At 39.5% G+C, this 12,563-nt stretch overlaps 1 pseudogene across 1 annotated transcript in view; it reads left to right on the forward strand.

The window, feature by feature from the left end:
• Window positions 1-12,563, forward strand: part of OVOS1P (ovostatin 1, pseudogene) — a 127,984-nt pseudogene that overhangs the window by 71,355 nt on the left and 44,066 nt on the right. Inside the window, exons 18-19 of the transcript NR_153413.2 lie at window positions 494-590; window positions 11,950-12,118. The product of NR_153413.2 is annotated as an ovostatin 1, pseudogene (transcript). The remainder of the gene's footprint in view (window positions 1-493; window positions 591-11,949; window positions 12,119-12,563) is intronic.

Below are 12,563 nucleotides of genomic sequence, written 5' to 3' on the forward strand. Positions count from 1 at the left end.
ACTAATATGTGAGGGAATTATCAGCTTTCCTGACATAATATTATGTACATTATATACTGGTGTCTAATATAAATCCCCATTTTGCTCTTACGTCTACCCTCGAATTTGATTTCTACTATTTTAAAGTATTCTACTATATTTAAAGTGTTTATAAGTGAGATACTATCCCTAGTTCAACAAAAATGCCAAATTCAAAGTAGTGAAAGTATAGTGGGGTATGATATGAGATGTCTTTTTTTGTCCTCTCTTATTTAAAGGTTTTCATCAACAGCTCTTAATTAGGAAAATAGAGCAAAAGCCATTAGAATTAGAGAAACTAAGGAACTCAAAGACATGAAATTTAGGAAACGTCAGTGAAGTATCTCTAAATATATGACAATCAGAGATGGAGAAAGAAATAAGTGGAAATTGAAAATATACATAGAACAAAAAACCAGTCCAGACTGCTAGTCTTATGTTGTTATGTGATCTAAAATTGATTTTATCTTGAAAGGCAACAGGATTAAAGATTTTTACCAACTCTCACCTCCGGAAACCAGTATTGTGCAAGGATTCTAACCATCTTGACTCTACTGATTACATACCCTTAGGTAAGTCACAGTATAATGCGAAGGGCAGGTGACAGGTTATAATCTCTTAATGCTTTTAAACTGATTGGGAAAAGAGGGGAGATGATTATTTTCTTTTGCTTTGTCTTTTAATTCATTTAATGTGCCTGTCATGTCAGATGCTAGAAATACAGTGAGAATAATGCAGGTAAATCTTTATATTCATGAAGTTTACATTGAATTTGGGATGCAGACAATATACAAATGGCTGCATATTGTCATTTGTATATTTCTTGTGTTGCTGTAAAGAAATATTTGAGGCTGGGTAATTTACAAAGAAAATAGGGGCTAAGTGCGGTGGCTCACACCTATAATCCCAGCACTTTGGGAGGCTGAGGCAGGCAGATCACCTGAGGTCAGGAGTTTGAGACAAGCCCGGGTAACATGTTGAAACCCTGTTTCTACTAAAAATACAAAAAAATAGCCAGGTGTGGTGGCGCACGCCTCTAATCCCAGCTACTCGGGAGGCTGAGGCAGAAGAATCACTTGAACCCAGGAGGCAGAGGTTGCAGTGAGCCAAGATTGTGCCATTGCACTCCAGCTTGGGCAACAAGAGTGAAACTCCTTTTCAAAAAAAAAAAAAAGAAAGGAAGAAAATAGGTTAAATTGCCTCACGGTTTTGCCAGCTGTACAGCAAACATGGTGCTGGCATCTGCTCGGTTTCTGGGGAGGCCTCAGAAAACTTACAGTCATGGTGAAAGACAAGGGGGAGCAAGTGTCTCACGTGGCCAGTATGGGAGCAAGAAGAGGAGAGGCGTCACACACTTTTAAACAATCAGATCTCACAAGAAGTCACTCACCATTGCAAGAACAGCACCAAGCAATGAAGGGTCTGCCCCCATGACCCAAACACTTCCTGCCAAGCCCCACCTCCAGCACTGGGGATAACAGTTCAACCTGAGATATGAGGGGACAAATATTCAAACTATATCAATGGCATAATTTCAGATGGTATTAAGTGCTCTGATAGTTAATCTTTCCTGAATTATTGCTACATACCAAGCAACATTCTAAGCATTTTACAAATGTCAACCCATTTATTCATCACAGTCTATAGATTAGAAGCTATTATCTGCAATTTATCAATGAGAAAAATGAAGCTTAGGCAGGTTAAGTAACTTGTCCAATGCAACAGATGCTAAGTAACAGAGATGGGATTATAATCCAGACGTTCTGATCCCAAAGACCATGTTTCTCTATCGTGAGTTACTATCTCTCAAAGAACTACTGTAAGGAAAATAAAACAAGATAAAGGAAAAGAGCAGAACATCAGGATGCTATTTTATTTATTTTTATTTATTTATTTTTTATTATTATTATAATTTAAGTTTTAGGGTACATGTGCACAACGTGCAGGTTAGTTACATATGTATACATGTGCCATGCTGGTGCACTGCACCCACTAACTCGTCATCTAGCATTAGGTATATCTCCCAATGCTATCCCTCCCCCCTCCCCCCACCCCACAACAGTCCCCAGAGTGTGATGTTCCCCTTCCTGTGTCCATGTGTTCTCATTGTTCAATTCCCACCTACGAATGAGAATATGCGGTGTTTGGTGTTTTGTTCTTGCGATAGTTTACTGAGAATGATGATTTCCAATTTCATCCATGTCCCTACAAAGGACAGAAACTCATCATTTTTTATGGCTGCATAGTATTCCATGGTGTATATGTGCCACATTTTCTTAATCCAGTCTATCATTGTTGGACATTTGGGTTGGTTCCAAGTCTTTGCTATTGTGAATAATGCCGCAGTAAACATACGTGTGCATGTGTCTTTATCGCAGCATGATTTATAGTCCTTTGGGTATATACCCAGTAATGGGATGGCTGGGTCAAATGGTATTTCTACTTCTAGATCCCTGAGGAATTGCCACACTGACTTCCACAATGGTTGAACTAGTTTACAGTCCCACCAGCAGTGTAAAAGTATTCCTATTTCTCCACATCCTCTCCAGCACCTGTTGTTTCCTGACTTTTTAATGATTGCCATTCTAACTGGTGTGAGATGGTATCTCATTGTGGTTTTGATTTGCATTTCTCTGATGGCCAGTGATGGTGAGCATTTTTTCATGTGTTTTTTGGCTGCATAAATGTCTTCTTTTGAGAAGTGTCTGTTCATGTCCTTTGCGCACTTTTTGATTGGGTTGTTTGTTTTTTTCTTGTAAATTTGTTTGAGTTCATTGTAGATTCTGGATATTAGCCCTTTGTCAGATGAGTAGGTTGTGATAATTTTCTCCCATTTTGTAGGTTGCCTGTTCACTCTGATGGTAGCTTCTTTTGCTGTGCAGAAGCTCTTTAGTTTAATTAGGTCCCCTTTGTCAATTTTGGCTTTTGTTGCTATTGCTTTTGGTGTTTTAGACATGAAGTCCTTGCCCATGCCTATGTCCTGAATGGTAATGCCTAGGTTTTCTTCTAGGGTTTTTATGGTTTTAGGTCTAACGTTTAAGTCTTTAATCCATCTTGAATTAATTTTTGTATAAGGTGTAAGGAAGGGATCCAGTTTCAGCTTTCTACATATGGCTAGCCAGTTTTCCCAGCACCATTTATTAAATAGGGAATCCTTTCCTCATTGCTTGTTTTTCTCAGGTTTGTCAAAGATCAGATAGTTGTAGGTATGCGGCGTTATCTCTGAGGGCTCTGTTCTGTTCCATTGATCTACATCTCTGTTTTGGTACCAGTACCATGCTGTTTTGGTTACTGTAGCCTTGTAGTATAGTTTGAAGTCAGGTAGTGTGATGCCTCCAGCTTTGTTCTTTTGGCTCAGGATTGACTTGGTGATGCAGGCTCTTTTTTGGATCCATATGAACTTTAAAGTAGTTTTTTCCAATTCTGTGAAGAAAGGCATTGGTAGCTTGATGGGGATGTCATTGAATCTGTAAATTACCTTGGGCAGTATGGCCATTTTCACGATATTGATTCTTCCTACCCATGAGCATGGAATGTTCTTCCATTTGTTTGTATCCTCTTTTATTTCCTTGAGCAGTGGTTTGTAGTTCTCCTTGAAGAGGTCCTTCACATCCCTTCTAAGTTGGATTCCTAGGTATTTTATTCTCTTTGAAGCAATTGTGAATGGGAGTTCACTCATGATTTGGCTGTTTGTCTGTTGTTGGTGTATAAGAATGCTTGTGATTTTTGTACATTGATTTTGTATCCTGAGACTTTGCTGAAGTTGCTTATCAGCTTAAGGAGATTTTGGGCTGAGACAATGGGGTTTTCTAGATATACAATCATGTAGTCTGCAAACAGGGACAATTTGACTTCCTCTTTTCCTAATTGAATACCCTTTATTTCCTTCTCCTGCCTAATTGCCCTGGCCAGAACTTCCAACACTATGTTGAATAGGAGTGGTGAGAGAGGGCATCCCTGTCTTGTGCCAGTTTTCAAAGGGAATGCTTCCAGTTTTTGCCCATTCAGTATGATATTGGCTGTGGGTTTGTCATAGATAGCTCTTATTATTTTGAGATACGTCCCATCAATACCTAATTTATTGAGAGTTTTTAGCATGAAGGGTTGTTGAATTTTGTCAAAGGCCTTTTCTGCATCTATTGAGATAATCATGTGGTTTTTGTCTTTGGTTCTGTTTATATGCTGGATTACATTTATTGATTTGCATATATTGAACCAGCCTTGCATCCCAGGGATGAAGCCCACTTGATCATGGTGGATAAGCTTTTTGATGTGCTGCTGGATTCGGTTTGCCAGTATTTTATCGAGGATTTTTGCATCAATGTTCATCAAGGATGTTGGTCTAAAATTCTCTTTTTTGGTTGTGTCTCTGCCCGGCTTTGGTATCAGGATGATGCTGGCCTCATAAAATGAGTTAGGGAGGATTCCCTCTTTTTCTGTTGATTGGAATAGTTTCAGAAGGAATGGTACCAGTTCCTCCTTGTACCTCTGATAGAATTCGGCTGTGAATCCATCTGGTCCTGGACTCTGTTTCGTTGGTAAGCTATTGATTATTGCCACAATTTCAGCTCCTGTTATTGGTCTATTCAGAGATTCAACTTCTTCCTGGTTTAGTCTTGGGAGAGTGTATATGTCAAGGAATTTATCCATTTCTTCTAGATTTTCTAGTTTATTTGCGTAGAGGTGTTTGTAGTATTCTCTGATGGTAGTTTGTATTTCTGTGGGATCGGTGGTGATATCCCCTTTATCATTTTTTATTGCGTCTATTTGATTCTTCTCTCTTTTTTTCTTTATTAGTCTTGCTAGCGGTCTATCAATTTTGTTGATCCTTTCAAAAAACCAGCTCCTGGATTCGTTAATTTTTTGAAGGGTTTTTTGTGTCTCTATTTCCTTCAGTGCTGCTCTGATTTTAGTTATTTCTTGCTTTCTGCTAGCTTTTGAATGTGTTTGCTCTTGCTTTTCTAGTTCTTTTAATTGTGATGTTAGGGTATCAATTTTGGATCTTTCCTGCTTTCTCTTGTGGGCATTTAGTGCTTTAAATTTCCCTCTACACACTGCTTTGAATGTGTCCCAGAGATTCTGGTATGTTGTGTCTTTGTTCTCGTTGGTTTCAAAGAACATCTTTATTTCTGCCTTCATTTCGTTATGTACCCAGTAGTCATTCAGGAGCAGGTTGTTCAGTTTCCATGTAGTTGAGCGGTTTTGAGTGAGGTTCTTAATCCTGAGTTCTAGTTTGATTGCACTGTGGTCTGAGAGATAGTTTGTTATAATTTCTGTTCTTTTACATTTGCTGAGGAGAGCTTTACTTCCAAGTATGTGGTCAATTTTGGAATAGGTGTGGTGTGGTGCTGAAAAAAATGTATATTCTGTTGATTTGGGGTGGAGAGTTCTGTAGATGTCTATTAGGTCCGTGCAGAGCTGAGTTCAATTCCTGGGTATCCTTGTTGACTTTCTGTCTCGTTGATCTGTCTAATGTTGACAGTGGGGTGTTAAAGTCTCCCATTATTATTGTGTGGGAGTCTAAGTCTCTTTGTAGGTCACTCAGGACTTGCTTTATGAATCTGGGTGCTCCTGTATTGGGTGCATATATATTTAGGATAGTTAGCTCCTCTTGTTGAATTGATCCCTTTACCATTATGTAATGGCCTTCTTTGTCTCTTTTGATCTTTGTTGGTTTAAAGTCTGTTTTATCAGAGACTAGGATTGCAACCCCTGCCTTTTTTTGTTTTCCATTTGCTTGGTAGATCTTCCTCCATCCTTTTATTTTGAGCCTATGTGTGTCTCTGCACGTGAGATGGGTTTCCTGAATACAGCACACTGATGGGTCTTGACTCTTTATCCAATTTGCCAGTCTGTGTCTTTTAATTGGAACATTTAGTCCATTTACATTTAAAGTTAATATTGTTATGTGTGAATTTGATCCTGTCATTATGATGTTAGCTGGTTATTTTACTCGTTAGTTGATGCAGTTTCTTCCTAGTCTTGATGGTCTGTACATTTTGGCATGATTTTGCAGCGGCTGGTACCAGTTGTTCCTTTCCATGTTTAGCGCTTCCTTCAGGAGCTCTTTTAGGGCAGGCCTGGTGGTGACAAAATCTCTCAGCATTTGCTTGTCTGTAAAGTATTTTATTTCTCCTTTGCTTATGAAGCTTAGTTTGGCTGGATATGAAATTCTGGGTTGAATATTCTTGTCTTTAAGAATGTTGAATATTGGCCCCCACTCTCTTCTGGCTTGTAGGGTTTCTGCCGAGAGATCCGCTGTTAGTCTGCTGGGCTTCCCTTTGAGGGTAACCCGACCTTTCTCTCTGGCTGCCCTTAACATTTTTTCCTTCATTTCAACTTTGGTGAATCTGACAATTATGTGTCTTGGAGTTGCTCTTCTTGAGGAGTATCTTTGTGGCATTCTCTGTATTTCCTGAATCTGAACATTGGCCTGCCTTGCTAGATTGGGGAAGTTCTCCTGGATAATATCCTGCAGAGTGTTTTCCAACTTGGTTCCATTCTCCGCATCACTTTCAGGTACACCAATCAGACGTAGATTTGGTCTTTTCACGTAGTCCCATATTTCTTGGAGGCTTTGCTCATTTCTTTTTATTCTTTTTTCTCTAAACTTCCCTTCTCGCTTCATTTCATTCATTTCATCTTCCATCTCTGATACCCTGTCTTCCAGTTGATCGCATCGGCTCCTGAGGCTTCTGCGTTCTTCACATAGATCTCGAGCCTTGGTTTTCAGCTCCATCAGCTCCTTTAAGCACTTCTCTGTATTGGTTATTCTAGTTATGCATTCTTCTAAATTTTCTTCAAAGTTTTCAACTTCTTTGCCTTTGGTTTGAATGTCCTCCTGTAGCTCAGAGTAATTTGATCGTCTGAAGCCTTCTTCTCTCAGTTCGTCAGAGTCATTCTCCATCCAGCTTTGTTCCGTTGCTGGTGAGGAACTGCGTTCCTTTGGAGGAGGAGAGGCGCTCTGCTTTTTAGAGTTTCCAGTTTTTCTGTTCTGTTTTTTTCCCCATCTTTGTGGTTTTATCTACTTTTGGTCTTTGATGATGGTGATGTACAGATGGGTTTTTGGTGTGGATGTCCTTTCTGTTTGTTAGTTTTCCTTCTAACAGACAGGACCCTCAGCTGCAGGTCTGTTGGAGTACTGGGACGTGTGAGGTGTCAGTGTGCCCCTGCTGGGGGGTGCCTCCCAGTTAAGCTGCTCAAGGGTCAGGGGTCAGGGACCCACTTGAGGAGGCAGTCTGCCTGTTCTCAGATCTCCAGCTGCATGCTGGGAGAACCACTGCTCTCTTCAAAGCTGTCAGACAGGGACATTTAAGTCTGCAGAGGTTACTGCTGTCTTTTTGTTTGTCTGTGCCCTGCTCCCAGAGGTGGAGCCTACAGAGGCAGGCAGGCCTCCTTGAGCTGTGGTGGGTTCCACCCAGTTCGAGCTTCCCGGCTGCTTTGTTTACCTAAGCAAGCCTGGGCAATGGTGGGGGCCCCTCCCCCAGCCTCGCTGCCGCCTTGCAGTTTGATCTCAGACTGCTGTGCTAGCAACCAGCGAGACTCCGTGGGGTAGGACCTTCCAAGCCAGGTGCGGGATATAATCTCGTGGTGCGCCGTTTTTTAAGCCCGTCGGAAAAGCGCAGTATTTGGGTGGGAGTGACCCGATTTTCCAGGTGCCATCCGTCACCCCTTTCTTTGACTCGGAAAGGGAACTCCCTGACCCCTTGCGCTTCCCAAGTGAGGCAATGCCTCGCCCTGCTTCGGCTCGCACACGGTGCGCGCACCCACTGACCTGCGCCCACTGTCCTGCACTCCCTAGTGAGATGAACCCGGTACCTCAGATGGAAATGCAGAAATCACCGTCTTCTGCGTCGCTCACGCTGGGAGCTGTAGACCGGAGCTGTTCCTATTCGGCCATCTTGGCTCCTCCCCTCCACAGTCAATTTTTTTAAAAATCCCTCACAGGTAAATTATCAGCCTCTATCTAAGCACATACAATAATGAGGCATTTTGATTACAGAACTGCTCTGCAATAAATGAGAGTTTTAACATAAAAATTGAAAGTACTCACTTTTCAATGTATATCTTCAACCAAAAATTTAGAGCAACCTTTCTCAACTGTTATATAAGAAAATTGCTTAATTGTTTAACTCCACAGAGAATGTGTCGAGAGACCATTTGATGCATAAATAGTACCATTCAGGATATATAGGAGAGAATGGTACTATTTATGCATCAATAAATGTAATGTTAATTCATTACATTCAGTAGCTGTATTGGAGACTTAAAGATAATTCTGTTACAGAACTCCGGATGATAAGGGCTAATTTAAAGTTCCTAGCTTGTTTTTCTTTTCTTTAATTTTCTCAGAACTCTTAGAAGTAATCAGCCTGGTATCGTTCTATAGCAGTGGAAATTTGTGGTCCCCAAATGCTTGCTGTCAATAGGCACTTTGTCAATGGTGAACAGGAGATTATTTGATTATCTTTTTCACCAGTGCATGATAGGGAGTGCTGAATTTTCATGCCTTGATATTTATATAATTTTCACTGGAGTCCACTTCAGTTAGGCAGACACCCATCCCTAAGGTCTCACTTCTATCTTTCTCAAAGATATTCTGCCTCATTACCAAAGCACATGAGCTCCTGGAAAGATAAATATCTAAATATTCTATAAAATACTGAATATTACCTCACTAATAACATCTGAGATGAGAGGCAAAGATTATGACTATCAGGAATAACCAGAATTTGGGGCCAAATTGTCTTCATTGTAGGTCTAACAGAGACCGGATCCATCTTCTGGTTATTTATTCATTTTCCAAATGTGTAGGTATAATTGACAAGTCTAGCAATGATCAGAATTCCCACTGTGGCTCCTTGTGTGTGGAATAAACACATTGGAGTGGATGTGAAAAGGTTCTGCCTATCTTATCCTCAATGAACTAGAAGTTGCCATTATACTCACAGTTCCCTGAAAATAAACTCTTCCATGGCCTCCCCATTTCACTCCCTTCTGATTCCCAGTCTCAGAACAGAGCATCTCACTGGTCGAGCCTGTCATTTACCTGCCCCCTGGATTCAAGGTAATCTGGGAATGGAGTCTTCTAACTTCTTTACTGGAAGTGAAACGCATATGTTGGGAAATTACCAAAGTATATGACAAGTCTACAAATGGCCTGAGGTAAAGATGTACACTCTTTTATAAGCCTTAACAAATGTGTGGCAAGATGATCAGGGATTTAGAACAAGACACATTAAGGGACTAATTCCAAGGAAGTTGAGGAATGAAATTATATTAAAGGGCTTGTTTCTGTCTCTTCTAGAGATATGTCTGGGAACCAAGGTACGGATTGGTAGTGGCTTTTGCAGAATACTTGTTTTCCATCCTTAAGAATAGGAGTTGTTTTCATTTAGACCTTTTAGGATCCAGGAAAGAAGTATATTTTCATTAACATGCTTAAGAATAGTTTCACTGAATTGGAAGCTGAGAGTATTATCTGGCCATTTGGAGATTCCCACATCCAGGCGTCTGGGATAACACAGCCAAACTGTCAAGAAACAATACATTTACTGATATACTTTGGGGACAGGAGGATGAATGCAACTAAATGGATCTCATGGAGCCCCTCCATGTCCCACAATGCAGTCTTTACATTTCATGGAAGGAGAATGTTACTCTCCCACCACGTTCAAGTGGAACCATCTATGGATCAGATTCCTCAATTTGTGAAATTAAGACCACACAACTGGTAAAGAATCTTAAGGATCTACAGGCTTCACTGCAAGAAAAAAAAAGAAAAGGAATAAAAACATCCTAGTAACTTTTTAATATATTCCTTTACTCCTCAAGTTAACAGGAGAGACCTAATACATTTCATCTCTCAACGTAGATGGCTTTGATAATTTATTTCAAGCAGGATCAGACTTTTTTTTTTTTTGCTTGTATCGATTGGTCTTGTACAGATTTATAGATTTTTATATTTAAAGAACAATATATTCTATGTAAGTAACATGGATTTAGATATAAAAATTCTGCTTGGCTCTTCTAAGATTATTTCTCCGAGCTTCTCACATACCTAATCTCCAAATAAGAAGGATCTAATAAAAATGAATGTCAAAAATATGAGGGCCCTTCATTGCATAACTTTTGTAACACTCAATAATTCATCCAATCAATTTTGATTAGGGTTGAAGTTCTGATTTCACTCTGATAAGAATGGATTTGCAATTCACAATTCCAGCAGAAAGAACAACCTGGAGCTAATTATCTCTAAGAATGACAGTATTACACACCAAACCCTGTGAGTCTTCAAGGCCTAGCTAGTTCACAAAACATCTTTAATTTGTTTACTATACAAGTACTTTATTGATGTACCAGCACTCTTCACTATCAAAATATTGACGCAAAAGGTAGCCCTGTCTTCATATAAAATATAATTCATTATGGATCTTCCAGAATAAAAATCTACCCTAAAACAGTTGCTAAATGAACTTATTATGACAGCTTGTGTGTGTTTATTTGTGTAAACTCAATATAACATTTTGGCAAAATATATATTGAACTATCCATCCTAAACATAATCTAATAGGGCTATTTTCTTCTTGAGATTACTTCTGCAACAAGTTAGCAAAACTATAGCAGAGATGGCCAGTTTTATTAGTACATCAAAAAATAGACCTATCAGAATAAACTTTTGGCCTGAATTCCTCATGTTATGTATTTAAATATTTAGACTAGGACTGGTCACTTCTAGATGTAATTGTTCCAAAGGTTCATATTTTTTTTGACTTGGCCTGGGAAGAGATAGAATTAAATATACAAGGAAAATTTAAGTAAGTTTTGTTAACGTGTAATTCAATTTGATTAGAACAACAATTATTAAGCCAACACTTTACTTAGACATCTATACCCTGATTACAGAATGTGAATTGCAGCCATAATGCAAGAAAATTATATGACTATAATAACAAGGAGCACAGTGGCTTAAAATTTTAAGCTAATATGGGCTGTGAACATGTCATATACATTTTTGTGCCTTGAGCATTTGGATCAGTCCTTGGAACACATCTGACACTCTACGAGTGTTTTAAAATTTTATTTAATTTGAAAAGAATGAAGAAGGAATGAGTTCTGGTGTTCTATTGCACAGTAGGCTGACAATAGTTTACAGTAAGATTTAGCAAATTACAAAATAGCTAGATGAGAGGTTTTTGAATGTCTTCACCATAAAAAAAAAAGATAAATGGATGAAGTACTGGTAACACTGCCCCAATATGATCATTATACTACATATATAGATTATGTGTGTGTGTGTGTGTGTGTGTGTATTGAAACATCAAATTGTACCCCCCCACTTTTTTTTTTATTTTTGAGACAAAGTCTCACTCTGTCACCCAGGCTGGAGTGCAGTGGTATGATCTCGGTTCACTGCAACCTTCACCTCCCACGTTGAAGCGATTCTCCTGCCTCAGCCTCCCAAGTAGCTGGGATTACAGAGGCACACGCCACCATACCCAACTAATTTTTGTATTTTTAGTAGAGATGGGGTTTCACAATATTACCCAAGCTGATCTTGAACTCCTGGGCTCTAGTGATCTGCCCACCTTGGCATCCCAAAGTGCTAGGATTACAGGTGTGAGCCACTGTGCCCCGCCAATTGTATCCTTTAAGTATGTACAATTACAATACTTTAAAAAAAGAAAAAAGAATAAAGGCAGTACAAGTTTTTATGACCAAAGCATAGTGTATAATCCTCTAAGATTTATAGACATTAGGGTTCTTAAGCCCTCACAGGCTCTACCAAAAGCTACTTGTTTGTTTCATAAGAGAAAATATTGGCCTAAAATAACCCTTGTGAAACTATCCGAAACTATCCGAAATATGGCAGCAAAGGGTAATACTCTCATACAAATTCTGATTGTTTATATTTTTTTCATTATTTTCTAGGATCCTCAAAACAATCGGATTTTTCAAAGGCAAAATGTGACTTCTTTCCGAAATATTACCCAACTCTCGTTCCAACTGATTTCAGAACCAATGTTTGGAGATTACTGGATTGTTGTGAAAAGAAACTCAAGGGAGACAGTGACACACCAATTTGCTGTTAAAAGATATGGTAACCAGTTGCTATTTGTAGCTGTCCTGTGTAGATGAAGAGTTTAAAGGATGGACCAACACAACATTTATGTTAGACTTAGGCAGGAGTAGGTGAAGCTAGAACTGGTTTTCTTTGTCTCCCTTCCTTGACCTGGTTGGCTTCGTCATCAGCACTTTGCTGCTCCTCTCTCCTTCCCCAGTATCCTTATTCTGATTCCTGCCTTCTTTTTCCCCTAGAAAATATACATTTTTTCTAGAATCCCCACAGTCTTCTAGGAGAGATCTAAGAGATTGCAATAGAAAGAAAATGTGAGGCCAGGTGTGGTGGCTCACGCCTGTAATCCCAGCACTTTGAGAGACTGAGGCGAGTGGATCATGAGGTCAGGAGTTCGAGACCAGCCTCACCAACATGGTGAAACCCAGTCTCTACTAAAAATACAAAAATTAGCCCAGCGTGGTCGTGC

This window comes from Homo sapiens, chromosome 12 (genome assembly GCF_000001405.40).
Source record: "Homo sapiens chromosome 12, GRCh38.p14 Primary Assembly".
Taxonomy (NCBI): Eukaryota; Metazoa; Chordata; class Mammalia; order Primates; family Hominidae; genus Homo; species Homo sapiens.